Source organism: Homo sapiens, chromosome 15 (assembly GCF_000001405.40).
Source record: "Homo sapiens chromosome 15, GRCh38.p14 Primary Assembly".
Taxonomy (NCBI): Eukaryota; Metazoa; Chordata; class Mammalia; order Primates; family Hominidae; genus Homo; species Homo sapiens.
The window spans coordinates 36683938-36703899 of NC_000015.10; the positions used below are offsets into that span (position 1 = coordinate 36683938).

At 37.1% G+C, this 19962-nt stretch overlaps 1 protein-coding gene across 20 annotated transcripts in view; it reads left to right on the top strand.

Moving 5' to 3' along the window:
• CDIN1 (CDAN1 interacting nuclease 1) overlaps window positions 1-19962 on the top strand; it is a 230619-nt gene that overhangs the window by 104312 nt on the left and 106345 nt on the right. For 12 of the 20 annotated variants that reach the window (XM_047433174.1, NM_001321757.2, NM_001321761.2 and 9 more), the window contains 3 exons: window positions 7748-7827; window positions 8189-8238; window positions 13386-13453. The exons of 2 other annotated variants lie outside the window; for them this stretch is intronic. In XM_047433174.1, the coding sequence (XP_047289130.1) occupies window positions 7748-7827; window positions 8189-8238; window positions 13386-13453 (198 nt within the window). Of the gene's footprint in view, window positions 1-7747; window positions 7828-8188; window positions 8239-10675; window positions 11304-13385; window positions 13454-19962 lie in introns of those variants that run through there. 6 more of the 20 variants (XR_007064491.1, XM_047433173.1, XR_007064492.1 and 3 more) reach the window with 6 other exon arrangements.

The following is a 19962-nucleotide window of genomic DNA, read 5'->3' on the forward strand; positions in this document are numbered from 1 at the left end:
TTGCTGAAGTTGCTTATGAGCTTAAGGAGATTTTGGGCTGAGACAATGGAGTTTTCTAGATATACAATCATGTCGTCTGCAAACAGGGACAATTTGACTTTCTCTTTTCCTAATTGAATACCCTTTATTTCCTTCTCCTGCCTAATTGCCCTGGCCAGAACTTCCAACACTATGTTGAATAGCAGTGGTGAGAGAGGGCATCCCTGTCTTGTGCCAGTTTTCAAAGGGAATGCTTCCAGTTTTTGCCCATTCAGTATGATATTGGCTGTGGGTTTGTCATAGATAGCTCTTATTATTTTGAAATACGTCCCATCAATACCTAATTTATTGAGAGTTTTTAGCATGAAGGGTTGTTGAATTTTGTCAAAGGCCTTTTCTGCATATATTGAGATAATCATGTGGTTTTTGTCTTTGTCTCTGTTTATATGCTGGATTACATTTATTGATTTGCATATATTGAACCAGCCTTGCATCCCAGGGATGAAGCCCACTTGATCATGGTGGATAAGCTTTTTGATGTGCTGCTGGATTCGTTTTGCCAGTATTTTATTGAGGATTTTTGCATCAGTGTTCATCAAGGATATTGATTGGTCTAAAATTCTCTTTTTTGGTTGTGTCTCTGCCAGGCTTTGGTATCAGAATGATGCTGGCCTCATAAAATGAGTTAGGGAGGATTCCCTCTTTTTCTATTGATTGGAATAGTTTCAGAAGGAATGGTACCAGCTCCTCCTTGTACCTCTGGTAGAATTCGGCTGTGAATCCATCTGGTCCTGGACTGTTTTTGGTTGGTAAGCTATTGATTATTGCCACAATTTCAGATCCTGTTATTGGTCTATTCAGAGATTCAACTTCTTCCTGGTTTAGTCTTGGGAGAGTGTATGTGTCGAGGAATTTATCCATTTCTTCTAGATTTTCTAGTTTATTTGCGTAGAGGTGTTTGTAGTATTCTCTGATGGTAGTTTGTATTTCTGTGGGATCGGTGGTGATATCCCCTTTATCATTTTTTATTGCGTCTATTTGATTCTTCTCTCTTTTTTTCTTTATTAGTCTTGCTAGCGGTCTATCTATTTTGTGGATCTTTTCAAAACACCAGCTCCTGGATTCATTAATTTTTTGAAGGGCTTTTTGTGTCTCTATTTCCTTCAGTTCTGCTCTGATTTTAGTTATTTCTTGCCTTCTGCTAGCTTTTGAATGTGTTTGCTCTTGCTTTTCTAGTTCTTTTAATTGTGATGTTAGGGTGTCAATTTTGGATCTTTCCTGCTTTCTCTTGTGGGCATTTAGTGCTGTAAATTTCCCTCTACACACTGCTTTGAATGCGTCCCAGAGATTCTGGTATGTTGTGTCTTTGTTCTCGTTGGTTTCAAAGAACGTCTTTATTTCTGCCTTCATTTCGTTATGTACCCAGTAGTCATTCAGGAGCAGGTTGTTCAGTTTCCATGTAGTTGAGCGGTTTTGAGTGAGATTCTTAATCCTGAGTTCTAGTTTGATTGCACTGTGGTCTGAGAGATAGTTTGTTATAATTTCTGTTCTTTTACATTTGCTGAGGAGAGCTTTACTTCCAAGTATGTGGTCATGTCTAAAACACCAAAAGCAATGGCAACAAAACACAAAATTGACAAATGGGATCTAATTAAACTAAAGAGCTTCTGTACAGCAAAAGAAACTACCATCAGAGTGAACAGGCAACCTACAAAATGGGAGAAAATTTTCTCAACCTACTCATCTGACAAAGGGCTAATATCCAGAATCTACAGTGAACTCAAACAAATTTACAAGAAAAAAACAAACAACCCCATCAAAAAGTGGGCAAAGGATATGAACAGACACTTCTCAAAAGAAGACATCTATGTGGCCAACAGACACATGAAAAAATGCTCATCATCACTGGCCATCAGAGAAATGCAAATCAAAACCACAATGAGATACCATCTCACACCAGTTAGAATGGCAATCATTAAAAAGTCAGGAAACAACAGGTGCTGGAGATGATGTGGAGAAATAGGAACACTTTTACACTGTTGGTGGGACTGTAAACTAGTTCAACCATTGTGGAAGTCAGTGTGGCGATTCCTCAGGGATCTAGAACTAGAAATACCATTTGACCCAGCCATCCCATTACTGGGTATATACCCAAATGACTATAAATCATGCTGCTATAAAGACACATGCACACGTATGTTTATTGTGGCACTATTCACGATAGCAAAGACTTGGAACCAAGCCAAATGTCCAACAATGATAGACTGGATTAAGAAAATGTGGCACATATACACCATGGAATACTATGCAGCCATAAAAAATGATGAGTTCGTGTCCTTTGTAGGGACATGGATGAAATTGGAAATCATCATTCTCAGTAAACTATCGCAAGAACAAAAAAACAAACACCGCATATTCTCACTCATAGGTGGGAATTGAGCAATGAGAACACATGGACACAGGAAGGGGAACATCACACTCTGGGGACTGTTGTGGGGTGGGGGGCGGGGGAGGGATATCATTGGGAGATATACCTAATGCTAGATGACAAGTTAGTGGGTGCAGTGCACCAGCATGGCACATGTATACATATGTAACTAACCTGCACAATGTGCACATGTACCCTAAAACTTAAAGTATAATAATAAAAAAAAAAAAAAAGAAAAAGAAATCATCATAGAGGCCAGGCACGGTAGCTCATGCTTGTAATCTCAGCACTTTCGGAGGCCGAGGCAGGTGAATCACTTGAGCCCAGGAGTTTGAGACCAGCCTGGCAACATAGTGAAACCCCGTCTCTACTAAAAAAAATACAAGAAAGAAAGAGAGAGAGAGAAGGGAGGGACAGAGGGATGGAGGGCAGAGGGACAGAGGGACAGACAGAAGGATGGAGGGAGGGAGAGAGAGAGAGGTAGTCAGGGAGGGAGAGAGGGAGGGAGGGAGGGGAGGAAAGGGAGGAAAGATGGAGGGAGGGTGGGAGAGAGAGAGGGAGGGAGAGAGGGAAGGAAGGAAGAAAAGGAAGGAAGGAAGGAAAAGATAGGAAGGAAGGAAAGGGAGGAAAGGAAGGGAGGGACAAATCAATGTAGAATGTATTATTTCCAAGAGAATAGAAGGAAGGGAGGGAGGGAGGGAGGGATGGAAGGAGAAATCAGTGTAGAATGTATTATATCCAAGGGAATAAAGGGTAATAGGGGAATAAAGAAAACTTAATTAACTAGAAGGTAGGGAGAAAAGAGGAGAAAGAAAGAGAATGATCAGCAGAACACAGAAAATAAGAGAGTAAAAATAAGCCTGAATGTATCAGTTGTAATGAATGTAAATGGGTTAAATTCACATTTTTAAAAAAGCTTAGATTGTCAAATTTGATTTTAGAAAATCCAACAAAATACTATTTATGAATCACTCGTAAGACATAATGACACAATAAAGTTCAAAGTAAAGAAATGGGGAAATTAGTACAATAAAAATTAACATTAGAAAATAAAAAACTAATAACAACAATAAAAAGAAATGGAACACTAGTTATGTGAGGGAGGCAGATCCTATCCAAAAGAAAAGTGTTGCAGAAGTATTACCACTAGGTCACATTAAATTTAACAGAAAACCTTTATTAGAGTTAAAGAAAGTCTTGACTTTGCCAAAAGACATACTTACCAAGAATTCAGTGTATAACAACTGAGAGTGCAGGCACCCAACAGTATAGTCTCCAAATACAGAAAGCAAGCATTGGCAGAATTATAAGGAGAAACTGACAACTCCACAGTAGTAGTAGATGATTATTTCATGTGTAGTTGAAAAAAAAATAACAAGGATGCAGAAGATTTGGATAATACCATTAAAATCTTAACCTACTAGACATATCTGAACCTTGCAGCTCAAAAGTAGGAACTTCAGTTTTCTGAAGACATATAAAACATTAACAAAAATTGATCACATATAAAAACACAAGGAAAGTGAAACAAACCATATTAATATAAACATCACAAATTAGAAACAGCAGAAATCCATGTTTTTAAATAACTTATGGGTCAAAGATGAAATAATGGAAAGTGTAAACTATAAATGAATGATAACAAAATTGTGGCATGTAGCTAAAGCAAAATTTAGAGGAAAAATTATAGCCTTGAAAAGTATATTTTAAAATAAAAAATTGAAAATGAATTTTATAAAAATAGTAAAAGAGTAATGTGGCAAACTCAAAGTGGGAACGAGGAAATAATGATGAAAAAGGATAAAGTCAATGAAATTAGAAGAAATGGTACAGTAAAGAGGATCGACAGAGCCAACATTTGGTCTCATGAAAATATTAGTAAAACTAACCTCTAGCAAGACTGAGAAATTAAAAAAAAAAAGCTTATACAAATTAATATGAGACTATCTAAAGCAAATTTATTGCAGACGTAGAAGTTAGGTCAGGGTGGTGAGTGCACAGATGTTTATTATATATTAGTTCTTTATGTTAAAAATACTTCACAACAAAAAGTTCATAATCTTAGGCATTGTGCCTTAGTCCAGGCATTGCTTTAACAGGTACCAAGTCTCTCCTATTCTTGTGAATCTAGCTCCAGTGACTCATACATTCCTGCTTTATACATACTTTGTAGAAAATTGTAATCCTGTTCATTGTAATCCTGGAATGGCAGAGGCAAAGTGTGAAATCAACAGAATGAATGCCTCTACCAAAGGTTGAGGAGAATAGGAATCCTGTCCATGTGTGGTTAAAAAAGCCAGATGCAAATTGGCCAGAGGTGGTCTAGGAACAGCTTCCATAAAAGACACAGGCTTTCTTGAGGCCTCTTAGCTCTGGCCATGACAAGGTTGTCCAGTCGCATTTACTTATCTGGTTGATGTTATTATTCATTTCTTTGAGATGGCAGTTCCTAAGCTTCAGAATCTGTGTGTAAAAGTAGGTTTACATTCTCTGGCTTGATCTGAGACACCAACATACTTTCATGAAGCCTGAGTGGAAAGAGCTGTGTGTGTTTGGCAGATACATCCTGGGTCCACAGCACAGGCAGTCACTTCCTAGAGGAACTTTCTCTGTTGCACTAAAAAGTGGTGGGTTGCAAGAAGAGAAAAGACATTTTGTTGAGGTTAAAATGAATGTGGACTCAATGTATACTTTTTGCTGTTATTCCATTTAAAACAACTGACTTCCTCTGGCAAGTTTCCTTTCATTTGAATAGTGTTTATTCAACATATTCAGACTTTTAAAAAAAAGTTTATTGCCTATGATTCTTAATCCTGATAAGCATACCACTGTTCTAAAATTTATATTGTGAGGAAAATTATGTCATCAGTTTATTTTTTCTTTTGATATTTCCCTTTTTTGGCTGAAAATAAATGACTACTTTTCTTATGTCACGGAGTATTGTCCCTTTTCTTTTTTTAAAAAACAGCCTTTGTTTTATTATTTTAGCCAGGAGTTTGCATATAGTTTGATATGAGATCTGTAATTTTTATAGGATAGCGTTCTTAGTCATGGCCACTTACATATTAGTGATCTCTTCCTCACATGGGTTCATGAGAGTTGGAATGTACCATGACTGGGGTCCATACAGAGAAGGTGCTCCTATTTTCTTAGGCCTCTGCTGGCATTATGGGCAACATAAAAGAATGTGTCTGCCATTACCATGTGGTGACTCGAGTGGCAGGCCAGAGAGAGTTCCCTCTAGAAGGTAATGAAAGGTATGGACAACTGCTTTGGTCCCCTCTGACTGGCCAGGCCTTAGAATTAGGTTGGGAATACTGAGTTTCCCAGGCACATTATTTTTTTAATACTATTGCTGCTGTAATCTTTTCTTTTATAAGAAGATGATTCATTGTTTCCTATTCCCGATATTTTTACCACTTATCAGTGGTAATTGCTTTCAGAAATAATTGAGTCCAACCCTATGGTTTGTATGAAGTAAATACCTAAGTTTGATTTGATTCTTACTATTACTTGAACTTAGCAAAATAGTGCTTTAGCTGTCTTCTCTAGAGACCACACAAGAACACTTTATTTCGGTAGTCAGCTTAAATAATATTTTCACTTTCTACAGATAGCAATGGGCATTAAACTTGGGAAGCTATGTAACTTGCCAAGGTTGCAGAGCCAGTTGTAGAGATAGGGCTGGATAGGATAGCTGGGTGATGCTCTTTTGGAGATTCCATATGACCTTTTCACTTGCAGTGCAAACACGTGTTCACAAATGGCTAAGTACATAAGTGTTGCTATAAGCATGTAGTTATATGACTAACAGTGGGCAGTAATTAAAATAATCATGCTTCATTTTTTCTTTGCAGACCCAATACTATTTTTAAGTGAATAAGATGTAATTTCCTTATTTATTTCCACAGTATTTACTAACATTTTTTTCTTTTTTTTTTTGAGACAGAGTCTCGCTCCGTTGCCCAGGCTGGAGTGCAGTGGCTCGATCACTGCTCACTGCAACCTCCGCCTCCCGGGTTCATGCCATTCTCCTGCCTCAGCCTCCCGAGTAGCTGGGACTACAGGCGCCCACCACCACACCCTGCTAATTTTTTGCATTTTTAGTAGAGACGGGGTTTCACCTTGTTAGCCAGGATGGTCTTGATCTCCTGACCTCAAGATCCACCCGCCTCGGCCTCCCAAAGTGCTGGGATTACAGACGTGAGCCACCGCGCCTGGCCACTAACATTTATCTTATGTATCAGTGTTCTTATAGTATAGAGCTTGATAAAGAACATAATCTTAAAAGAAAACAAGTTAGACCCGAAATTATCTCAGAACTTGAATGATGATAATTAGATAATTATTCAGTATGCATTTTAATTTGTGCTTGTGTGGATCAGACCATAAGCCATTTTGCTAAATTGTGGTGAATAATTCCACTGGAGGCCTTGAAATAATCGATACCTAGGCAACACGTGACTTAGCTTCAGCCTAGAGACCTGCCCTTCTCCCATGCATTAAAAGGAATTCTGGCTACTGTGGCTGCCACATGCCTAGTGAGCAGCGAGGTCAGGATCTCCTACCTTGCTTTCCAAAGGATGTCACTTGCTATAGCACCTTCATCAGATGCCTCCCTTAGTGCCCCCTCTTCTTCTATAGCAGTTCCCTTGGGGTTCAACTTAATTTGCAAGTTGAGGCATATTTTGGGTGGAAAACTTGTGTGTGTGTGTCTCTCTCTGTATATATTTTCCTTATTTAAGATTCTCTCAATTCAGTCAGTTTTACCTACTTTCCTCACTTGTGGAATGGAGATAGGATTTTATGGCAGTTGATGAGAATTATTTTGGAAAGGTTTAGAATTAGAAGATTCTTTCATGGCTGAAAGCCATTTTAATTGATATAATTAAAGCATATGTATATGAAGAGTTTAGTGAAGACAGGTCAGATTCAAAGACTTCAGATCTGACCTGTCTTCATTAAACTCTTCATATACATATGCTTGGTTATAAAATAACTACCTGCAAAAGGTAAATATTTTCTGATTTTTTTTTTTTTACCCCAAATGGGCTTTTCGGAAGCTTATTTATCTACAAAAGAGACATATGCTTTAGGTCTGTACTTGTTAATTTACCTTGGAAAAATTAGGTCATCATCAAATCTGGTAGTGTGGCTTATAAACTTGGCAAAATGGTCTAATTAAAAGCTTCTGTTAGATTATAGAAAAAGGAAAAAATGATTAATGCCAGTCATATTTTTGTTTTCATGGTTTGTGTATATGTAGATATATGTCACTCCTCATGTTGCATTAAAAGTATGTTGACTATCTGCTAACAGTTCATCTCTTTTCTTCTACAGCCTCCAAGTCTATTATAAATAGTATGCTACGGGACCCTTCTCAGATTCCAGATGGAGTTCTAGCAAATCAGGTCTATCAGGTATTAATCACAGCTGTCTATTTTCAGTGGCAATGCTGTTATCTGCCTAGCAGAGTAAAGGATTTTAAACCTCATTTAATTACTGTCATCATAAACTATCACTGAGGTCAGGGTGCACCATAAATGGCAATGCAGTATTTGCGAGAAGAGCATTTCACTTTTTAATAGCTTGCTTTTATAGTGAATAAAAAGCATGCAATTTTTGTTTTCTGTGATTAAATCCGAACCGCCTTTTGATAGCTTTCTTTTTTTGGGGGGCGGGGGTGGGGGAAGAAAAGTAATTACTGCTTTTAGGATATTGTTTACTGTAATAGTTTTTGTAGCCGCCCCACCCCAGACCCCTTTTCTTATTTGTCTGCAGTGCATTGTGAACGACTGCTGTTACGGACCACTAGTGGACTGCATCAAGCAGTATCCTTTCCCATAAAATTTTAGGTGCGCAATTGACGAGCTTAGACTCAGTGGAGATGTGTCTAGCTTTAACCTGACATAAAGTTCTGCTTCACAAAACACATTTCATACTCTTCTATTTTACATTCAATCAACTGGAGGGTCACTACAGACCATTCTTTTCTACAGCTTAAGAAATATCAGGTAGACCACAGGAAGATGTCAGTTCAGCAGTCACACATTCACATGCTTCTTTCAAACTGCCTGGTTTTCAATGAGTTTACAGGTACAGAGTCATTAGGCAGGTAACGTAATGTCTTGGAATGTATCTACCCATCCCAGTAAACATTTTTTAAAAATATAACAAATTTCCATTTAAAATGAGCCAAATTTTGTTGAATTTACGAGAATAAATTTAGAGCCTGGAGTTAAAGGAGGTTGTGATTAAAATGCTTCCAGAGACATCACATTTTAAAGGCAACAGATTCTTATTGCTTAAATGCTGATTACAATCTGAGCCGGCATTTGGATTCCTAATAAACATTTTTAGAGAAATCAAGTTAATTTTTCCTCCTGGAATACATTTAAGGTTGTGAAAACAGATGTCCAGTCACTTTTCATTAAAGACATTGAGATTACTAAAGAGTTAATGTTCACTTTTTAAAACAAGATTGAACAGACAGTAACTACATAAAGTAGGACATTATTAATCAATAAATTTAGTAGTACTGTGGCAACAGCAAGGTTTTTGATAATCCTCAAAGGTGCTATTTAAATGGTAAATAATGAGTAATTTTTATGAGAATAATTTCTATCCGAGTCCATGAATTTCACCCCTCTTAATAATATAAACATGTCCCTCCTGGTATGGATTTTGTTAGCATGGATGGCACTGTGATGAATTGTGACTCAGTAATTACTAGTTAGGAGGCTTTTTGTTGGAAACTCCTGCTAGTCAAATCGTGTACATGTATGTGTTTATATTCCACCTTCTTTCACAAAGGCTTAGAGTCGTAACATTTTTAATAAGAAAATCATGCCTATATAAGTAAAGTTAATCTTTGATGAATAACCTTTGAACAGAGCCCTCTTACAAGAATATTCAGTATTGAAGATACAGCCCTTTATGTATTTCTCCTCCAAGTCTGTTTCTCCAGTCTAGCTTAAATTAGTAAAAACACACAGCATTATCCCAAGCTCACCTTTTTATTAAACCAAAGTGAAATTGTACTTCTATATTCAGTATAAAATTAATGATAGTGTTAGAAACTGTAGGAGTACCAACCTTATGTTGCTAACACTGAGAAAGTTTAGCACATTCATATATCAACTAACACCATCTCAGAGTATCTGGGGTTGAATTACATGTTAATTTTAAAGCACATAAAATAGTTAAAAATCAATTTAAAGTTAAGGTTTTAAAAGCATAATGTCTTTTGAAGGATTGCATATTGATTTTAAATATAACTATCTAATTATGTATGCACGGACTAAAGTATGAAGTCAACTGCTTTGTAAATGCCAGGAGGCTATTTTTCAGTAATAGTTGAGATGCTTACGGGAAACTAGATTGCTGTATTGCTGGTGAAGAAAATGGCTTGTGAGGTTATTTACAAGTTTTGCCCATGGTCACTGCCATACATCAATAATAGGTATTATTATAGACAAAGTCTAAGTGTTTTTGCTTATACAGCATTATAAATTCTGTCTGGAGTATTTTCCTTACATTTTTGCCACCATTCACTTTCCTTTTTTGGTTGTGTTATTGCCAGTAGAATTTAATGTAGTACATGATTTCAATTGATAAAGATAATGACGTATGTCTATAAATTACATTCACCGACTAGGTTATAATTTTTGCAGTTTCATTATGTCTGTTGCCAGTAAAACTACAGATTTTATAAGTTTTATTTTCTAGACTTTGCATTTCATATATGTTTATATCAAGCAAAGCATAATTAAGAAACATATCTTTCCAAAATTTCAACTTGGTGATTGCTTTTGTCATGCAAAATAAAACAGGCTGGGAAGTTTACAGAGAAACTGATGTTGTCTCTGCATTGAAGTAGTAGCAGTTTCATATAATGTATAAATGCACTTGCATAGATGTTTCCTAGACTGATCAGCATAATTATTTTATTTCACACTGAATAAAAATTATTGTTTTTCCATGTGAGTAAATGTGCTGTTTGTTTTTCTGATAGTTTAGTAATATTTACATTGCTTACTCTCAGTAAATTACATCATGATGTGAGAAAGAAAGCACACATTCAGTAAATAAGATAGGTGCTAAACCTTCTTAGTGCCTTATGAAAATGTTATGTTTGTGTAAGTAGAATAAAGTAAGTTGGTCATTTACTAGTAAGACATCACAGAAAGCACAGTTAGCAAAGAGTATATACATCATCATTGTGCTTTCTCTTTTTTTTTGTTATCTACTGTATTTTTTCCTATGCAGCCATGCCCACCTACACCTTTCCCACCACAGCTTATACTCACCAAGGAAAAAATGTGAGAAACCAGCCACCTCAACTTTCCAAAGTGTGACTCCAGGACACAGCTATTAGACAAAAGCATAAACTATGAAGCAAGGAAAGGTAATGATGCAGGAAGCTTCAAATGCTGTGGGTTTCATTTCTGTACCATCAGAGACCTCAGTTTCATGATTCAACATTTTAGATGTAAATAATTTACAACAATAAAAATGAGAGCACATTTATGTGGAATAGAAGTAAATAATTTAGTTCTAAAGTGTGGGATGCCCCTAGTAATGAGAGACCATTGAGAGTTATTCATCAAATGTCTTCAATGGACTCTGAAAATTTGTGAAATTTTGTGATTTAAAAATGTGTTCCTTTATTTTGTTTCTCTTTAGAAATTTAAAAAGCACAGCCATGTGCCTTGGAAGGCAAGGGACAACTGGAGGAAAAGGCAATAATGATGACTTAGGGCATGTTTTGCTGGAACATAAATGGCCACATCTCTTGAATTCTAAGATTTAAACCATATTCACCTGTATGTATTGGTAAAATGCAAGATAATTCTCTAGGAATTTTTTTTTTAATAAATAACGAAGTTTTATTTAAGTTGAACTCGTGCAGTGCATGATCAGAATCAGCTTCTCTGGTAAGCCAAGGAGTGACGTGACCAGGTTGACGTTATCAGTGAAAAGGACAATGAAGGTAATGATTCACATAATTATTACCAAATGCAAATGCTTTTGAGTCAGTTGAAATACTAGACTAGGATAACACTCCTTTTCAGACTTTGGGCAATCTCATCTGTTTGGAAAATACACAGCACTTCCATGTTCTGCTCCTGATTTCATTATTTACCAGCCACGGGACCTTCAGCAAATTCCCCAGCCTCCCTGAACTTTACTTTCCTTAATTGTAAAAATGTGACTAAAAGGCTGGGTGCAGTGGCTCACACCTGTAATTTCAGCACTTTGGGAGGCTGAGATGGGCAGATCACTTGAAGTTAGGAGTTTGAGACCAGCGTGGCCTACATGGTAAAACTCCATCTGTACTAAAAACACAAAAATTAGCTGGGCGTGGTCACAGGCACCTGTAATTCCAGCTACTCTGGAGGCTGAGGCTGAAGAATTGCTTGAACCCAGGAGACAGAGGTTGCAGTGAGCTGAGATTGTGCCACTGCACTCCAGCCTGGGCAAGACCAAGAGTCCATCTCAAAAAAAAAAAGAGGCGGGGGACTAATAATAGTATCTACTTGTGTGGCTATTATAAGATGGTATCTCAAAGTATTTAGTACAAAGTCTTCATACATTATATTTAAGAAATATTAGCTATTATCAATTATTCCATAATTTTAATACTTTTTGAGAAGCTATATGGAGGTCATAAACATAGACTTGACAGGGATCTTGTTGTTATCTTATTTGCCACTCATTAACTGTATGCCCTGTGCAGGTTCCTTCTAGGCCTCGGTTTTCTCATCTATAAAATAAGGATTGTAATTATGAGGATAAAATAACATCCTAAAGGCACTTAACACAGTGCCTACCACATAGTAAGCACTGAAAAAATATATATTCATATGTATATCTATTTAGATACATGTACATGCATACGCATACACACACGAGAAAAAGACTCTTGAAACAGCCTCTGTACCCACACCCTAATCCACAACTCTTTACTAAGATGTCTTTCCTGCAGATTACATATATTCTTAACAAGTTACTTGTTTGGCTTGCCAGTGGCAAAAGTTCAACAACAGTCGACTGGAAGTGAAACAAAGAAGTTTCTAAATGTTGGCCTGATGACAAATGTGAATTCACAGAAGATTTACAGAATTCTCTAAGATTAGGAATTCTTCTAGGGCAAAGACTGCCTAGTATTCTTTACTGTACCTATTAAGTGCTTAATAAATGTATGCTAAATTGAGTTGAGGGATTTTAATTTAAAAATTTTTTTAGAATTTTTTTTAAGAGCGGGAGCCTTGCTACCTTACCCAACTGGCCTCAAGTGATCCTTCCACCTCGGCCTCCAGAGTGGCTGGGGTTATAGGCGCAAGCCACCTTGCCCAGCTGAATTGGAAGATTTTTAACACAGATTAAAGTACATTTAAAATGACTCTCCTTCTTTTCAAAATACAAGCACACATCCATTTACAAATCTTTGTTTGCCAAAATATATATAAAAATTATAGAAAATGCTGGACACAGTGGCTCATGCCTGTAATCCCAGCACTTTGAGAGACTGAGGTCGGAGAATCACTTGAGCCTAGGAGTTTGAGACCAGCCTGAGCAACATAGTGCGATTCCATTTCTAAAAAAAAAAAAAAAAAAAAAAAAATTACCCAGGCGTGGTGGGTGGTACACCCCTGTAGTCCCTGCTACCCAGGAGGCTGAGGTGGGAGGATTGCTTGAGCCCAGGAGTTCAAGGTTATAGTGAGCTATGATTGTGCCACTGCTCTCCAGCCTGGGCAACAGAGCAGGACCCTGTCTCTATTAAAAAAAAAAAGGTTTTAAAAAATTATAGAAAAATTCTATCCAATTATTTAAATGAGGGGATGTGTGTAGAGATTTCATTCCTCCAAGATGTGGACTAAGGGTGAAAATGGCTGCTCAAAGTATAGACCTGGTATTAGCGTTTTCCTGCTGGTATAATTCTGCCTGTGTTACCCCCTTAACTGAAACTTCCCAGTGCCATTGGTCATGAGCATGAGGTCCTGCTGAGAGACTTGCTTCTAGAGAAAAACCTGTCCTTCCTAGGTAAGTATTATTCACATCTTCTCTAGCTTGTGTTGTCTCCCTGAGTGCTTAAATATATATTTTAAAAATCTTCCACTAAAGGAAGAGTGAATGATGATTGATGCTGTGCATATTATCTTTTATTGATTTGGAACTGAGCAGGAACTCAGTTACCTAATCTCCTATATATACAGCACATGCACAAGCTTGCAATTAATATTTTATAGAATAAGTGGCTGAAAAAATGCTTTAATATCTGTTGCAGTATTACTTTTGGTGTCATGAGATATTAACCATAATCTAGCCCTTATGAGAAAAGGAAACAAAAGAAATATTGTCTATAAAATGTTTTATATATTAAAAAGAACAGTTAGAAAAATTCATGTTGGGTATATTTGTCTCATATATGGAACTGGGTAGTACTTTTACTTGAAAGCAAAATATTAAGCCTTTATTTTCATGCCAAACGTTCATTGGCATCATGGATTTATTATGATTTTTTAAAAATCCCACATGTATTCATGTGTTTGTGTATTACAGATTATTTCTTTCAACATCTCTTAAGCATTAGAAATTAAGCCTCAAAGGACTATACATATAATAAGTGATCACAGAAACCATAAAGCACTCTACAATGAATTAATTTCTCTTCTCCACTTTAAATATGGTAATTTGTAAAGGTTTCATACAAGTCATTTTATTATTATACAGATCTGTTTTATATAGATATTGAAGAGTCTGCATGATGTTTATTTTAGGACATACACAAAAAATAGAACAACATTGGATTACATAAGGTTTTTTCCAAAATGGGCAAAGAATTGGCCCAAACCAAATGCAGAGAAATGTCAAATAAGGAAGAGATGTTTAATAAAGTCCTACAAAGAATCTATTCCAAATCTTAATGTTCAATGTTTTTATTAATAAACTGTAGAATAAAATTGAATGTATTATAAGATTGTTTTAATTTGAAGCTTGGAGATATCATAAATATTCCCTAGTTAGGCTTAAATAAAGTTGATTAATTAAGCAAGTGTTCTCAAGTCACTAAATTAAATTTCAGTATGTAGAAGCAGCAAGGTTTTTCATATGGGGACAGTTGAATTGTTCAGCCTATGGAAAGATGGTAAGTTGGAAGAAATCACCTTTTAAAAGTCTAATCAAAAGGAAAATACGTAATAGTTCAGAACCAGTTGGAATGAGTGACCTGTGATGCACTATGAGATATGTTTTGGAACCAGGTAGTTCTGATAGTATTGTGAAACATCCGATCACATTGATTACTCAGATAGAGGCCTATATGTCATGGCCAAGTCTATTTTTTGTTTTGTTTTAAGCCACCAACTAAGCAGCATCATTGTCAGAGCTGCTTAGCACCACTCTCTGGGCACCATCAGCCTGTGGACAGTCAGGCCTTCAGCCCCATTTTTTTGTTTGGCCTAACTTTTCTCTGCTTCCTTCTTGAGAACTAGCCAATCCCAGCTGGGAAAAAAAGCAAAGGTTGTAGATGTGGGCTAAACTTAGTCCTAGTCCTCAACTTACTTGAACTTGAACGTGTTAAATTAGATTCACCATGGCTGACAAAAGCAATGTAAAAATGTGGTCTGGGGATCATCTCTACTTGCAAACAAGTACAGAAAGGGAACTTGAAATTGATGGGTCTCATCTGTTCCTCTGTGCTGTAGAATCTAGAGGTAATTATTTTATGGAAGCATACTCAAACAGGATATTTAATTGATCTTTAAAAATAAATGAAATATAGGAAGTTTATGCAACCTGAGTCCTGTTTTAAAGCATTTCCTCATCAACCTATAAAGAAGTTGTTAATTCTTTGTATTTTTAATGTAGCACTGAATTAACATATGTTTGTGGTTGAAAAATGAAAATTGAAAGCTTTGTATGAAATATTGTTATGGGGCTGTTGTCCTTTTACCTTATAAATACCCCTTCACAGAGATTAATTAGATTTAAAGTGTTGTGACAGGTAAATTTAGATAGATCATTTTAAAGCCAACTATGGAAAAAATATTGGTAAATAAACAGACCACTAATCTTAGTCTTTCTTGTTTACATGTGTACACCTTGAATTTTGTTGCAGAGATGTTGCAAACATGTTTAATTTATTTTGATCCTTTGCTAAGCTGAAGTAAAATCTCTCTCTCTCTCTGTTGGCTTCTAATTTGGACTGCATTCAAAAGACAAATATTCTCATCTTTTAATATATTAACCCTTCTTAATTTAAGAATTATGACTTTCCCTAAAATATTTTACCCCATTCTAAATTTGCCACACATTGTGCTCTATATTTGTTTTATAAAATGCATATTTTATCTTTACTCTTAACAATTGAAGGGAAAAATAAATTACTAATTCTTTCTTAAATGTCCTTGGTTCATAACTACATCCTGAGCAGTTGTTATGGCACAAGATCTAGCCAGGAACTATAGGAAAGAAAAACAGAAGTGTTCTTATCATTGAAGATTTGAATGTACTGATAGGAGTTCATCCTATCTTTTAAACTTATCCAATTTGTACTTCCACACATAAGTATATTGTATTAAGACAGGTCAAAGTTGAATAAATGACTTTAGTTTCTCCAACTAGAAAATATTTTTCATGTGCATATTTATTCATTTATTCCACAAATAAGTTACTAAGTTGGATACTGTTTTAGACACTAGATAAGTCAGATGAAGTGTCTGCTTTCATGGGGTTATGGTCCAGTAGGGAGACAAGCTACCAATGAACACAGATAATTTCTAACAGTTTCTGAGAGTCCATGTAATTCTTCCCTTCATTATTTATTCATTCTTTTCAATTAACTTTTGTTGTGTTCTCTGCATGCCAGGAACTACACTAGTTAGTACAAAGTGATTGATTATAAGCACTCTGTGCTCCCAGTGCTCATAGTCAAGCACCGTATTGCATGTGTGATCCAATGAGAATGCAGTTTTCTCTCTGATCCAGTGAGAATCCAGTGAGAATGCATCTCACTTAGTAGGTGCTCACATGATTGTCTCGATAATGAAAATAAAAACTCAAGGCTGTTAGGTTACTTCCATTAAACCTTTCAAAGAAAGGTACAAATTATACTCAACATCAATCACTATCCTTTATGAATGAAGAAAATGCTGCTGCCTCATGAGCTGCTTTTTCCTGAAATAGTGATGGAATTTTACTTATTCATTTGTTCTTTCTCACCGGGACCTTCCTGCCACAGTATATATCTAGGATGGCCAGTTGAGCTCATAAGGTTGGCTCTATTGCCAGTAGCTAACTACTCTTAAGCCTGCTGTGGGCAGACACCATTAAGAATTTTAAAGAACCAAACTTTTTTTTTTTAAGTTCATGCAAACGTGGAGCCTTCTGGGAAAACTGAAGATAAGTTTCAGTACATGTTAGCAGTTCTTTCCAAGGATAATTAATTTAGAATTAATATTTTTTGGCCGTATCTCAGTACTTTGGGAGGCTGAGGCAGGAGGATCACATGAGGCCAGGATTCAAGACCAGCCTGGGCAATATAGGGAGATCTTGTCTCTACACAAAATTTTTTAAAATTTTGTGGTGGTAGGCACCTGTAGTACCAGCTACTTGGGAGGCCAAAGTGGCAGGATCACTTAAGCCTTTGAGTTCAAGTTTACAGTGAACTGTGGTCATTCCACTGCATTCCAGCTTGGGTGACAGAGTGAGACCCTGTCTCTAACTAAAATAGGTAGGTAGGTAGGTAGGTAGATAGATAGATAGATAGGTAGGTAGATAGATAGATAGATAGATAGATAGATAGATAGATAGATAGATAGATAGATATGAGCATTTAAAGTCTCAAAAGGTGTGACGAACTTGCTGCCTACTCCTAGGCTTAGCTGTACAAAAAACTCCTCAACGTTAAATTGAACCATAAGCATTGTGATCATCCCATTACCTCTGCTAAGGGTTCACTCTTAGCAGACAAAATAGAAAATGTATTTCATCTACTGGTAGAGACATGTTAACTAGTATCTCTCAAGTGATTAATGAGACCGTATTTTGCTGTGTTTTTTTGTGTGTTTTTTTTAGCAGCTTTGGACAAAAAGACAGGAAAGGAAAAGAAAATAGTGACAATGCAAAGACAACAAGACAGTTTGCCCTGTTAGCTAAAATATGAAAGAGCGCATACAAAAGACTGAAGATAAACCATCCATCTTTTATGGGTTGGCATATCTCCAGGTTGGAGGGACTTCCGTTAGTGACTGCCACAGCCACTGTCTGGTGCAAATTCTTGTTAAGTCTGGCCTAATAAGAATGGTTCTGGAGATATTTTATTCTTTCCAGTGAATGTTTCCCTGTTAGTAGATGCTAACAATTATTTTGAGTGACACCTGGGAGGCATTTGCTGTGCCCCTGCCTCACCCTCGCCCCCATGTTTGGACAAACCAGCAAATTTTACAGGGGTGCTTGTGTAGCATTTGTGTATTACTCTGTGGGACTCTGAGAGAGTATAATCTGTAAAGCCAAATAGGCTTAGTGAAGGATGTCCCTTGTCGTAAGAAATTAGGATCTTTGTTTCTAAGAGTTCATCTGCCCCTGCTGCTTTATTCCTCACCTGAAGCAATAATACTCTGCTGGGGAGGTGATTATGATGTGACAAACAGGGGATTATGACTTCAGGTGAAGGACAGGCAGCAGGAGCAGATGAGATTTAGAATACCAAGACTGTGTGTACACGCAGATGTCAGTGGCAGAGAGTAAGAGACCAGAAATGGAACATACGATTATGTAGGCTGAAGGGAATGGAGATGGCTGGGTATTTCATAAGGAATCCACCATTTAAATTCTTGTCTATCCGAAGGTTAAAAATATGATGCTGTTTTTAGAGTAACAGGAACATGAAATTGAGGGTGGGAGGTGGGGGATTTGGGCTCTGTTCTCCCCTTTCTGAAGAGATTGTCATGGTGAGAGACTTTCTTACTTACTCCCCTTATTGAATGTGCTTGTGCATGCTTCTCCCTGGCACTGAGAAAAGGACCATAAATGCATATGCTGCTGGAAGATGAAATGCTTTCTGGATGTTTGTTTTCTTATCGGCTGAATTTGAGATTCAGCTCCCTGGAACTTTGAAGAAAGGTTGTTGTGACCACTTACGATGGTGTGCTCCCTGCTCCTGGCCCTCCCTCACCACTGCTCTTGGTAGTTAGCTCATGTCCACGGGTCATCTGCTTTTGGGTCACTAATGATTTATTGGAACTATTTTGGTTGTAAGTGGCAGAAATCCAATCAAACTAGATTATATACACAAAAAAGGAGAATTTATTGGCTTAAATATACACTGGGGAAGTCCAGAGGAGAGATTTGCTTCTGCTGTGTCTCTTAATAGGATCCAGAAGGCAAAACAATATCATTAATATCTTTTGTCCTTTTTGGGTTCTGCTCTTTTCTGTGTTGGCTTTATTCTTAGCTCACAAGGTCACAAAGATGATTGCTGGTGATTGCCAGTTTGTTTAATCCTTAGAGTTTATAATCCCAGAGCAAAGTCAGTGATTCTCTTTTGCCACATAACAAATCTCAGAAAGGGCCAGGTGCAGTGGCTCATACCTGTAATCCCAGCACTTTGGGAGGCTGAGGTGGGAGGATTGCTTGAGCCCAGGAGTTTGAGACCAGACTGGGCAACATAGCAAGACTCCCCGCCACTCCCCCAACGTCCACTCTACAAAAAATAAAAAACAGCCAGGTGTGGTGGTGCACGCCTGTTGTCCCAGCTACTGGGGAGGCTGAGATGGGAGAATTGCTTGAGCCTGGGAGATCAAGGCTGCAGTGAGCCATGATGGCACCTCTGCACTCCAGCCTGGGCAATAGAGTGAGACCCTGTCTCAAATATATATATATATCAGATATATATATATCAGAAAGGGATATATATATCTGATAGATCTATCAGATATATACATATATCAGATAGATCTATCAGATATATACATATATCAGATAGATCTATCAGATATATACATATATCAGATAGATCTATCATATATATATATATCAGATATATATATATATGATATACATATATATCAGATATATATATATCAGAAAGGGATCTGATCAGCTAGTCTGTGTCCAGCCCTATGGCGGGGTGATTTGGGGTCACATTACTGCCCACTCATGAGAATCACATTGTGAGAGTAGGGTAGCAATGCCGGACAGGATAACATACAGGACAGCAGAATAAAAAATCTCCCTCTCCCTGCAGAAAATTAACTACAGGCTAGGGTTTTGCTCACCATAACCAAAGGCATTGGGGGTCAAACACGTTACTGTGATTGCTGAATTGAATCCTTTGGTCCTGTGCATGGGTGCACTGGCTCACACTCACCCATGTGCACATCTGTCTGTGTAGGAGATCCTTTTTGTGTCTCAGAACTGCTAGTATGCCTCTCTCCATTGAGATTGGTTCGGCGACACATGGAGCTGGCCCAGCAAGAGGTTCTAACATCAGTGACTACAGCTAAAAAGAACCAGGGCAGACAAAGGCTAACAGTCAATCTTTCCTCTGA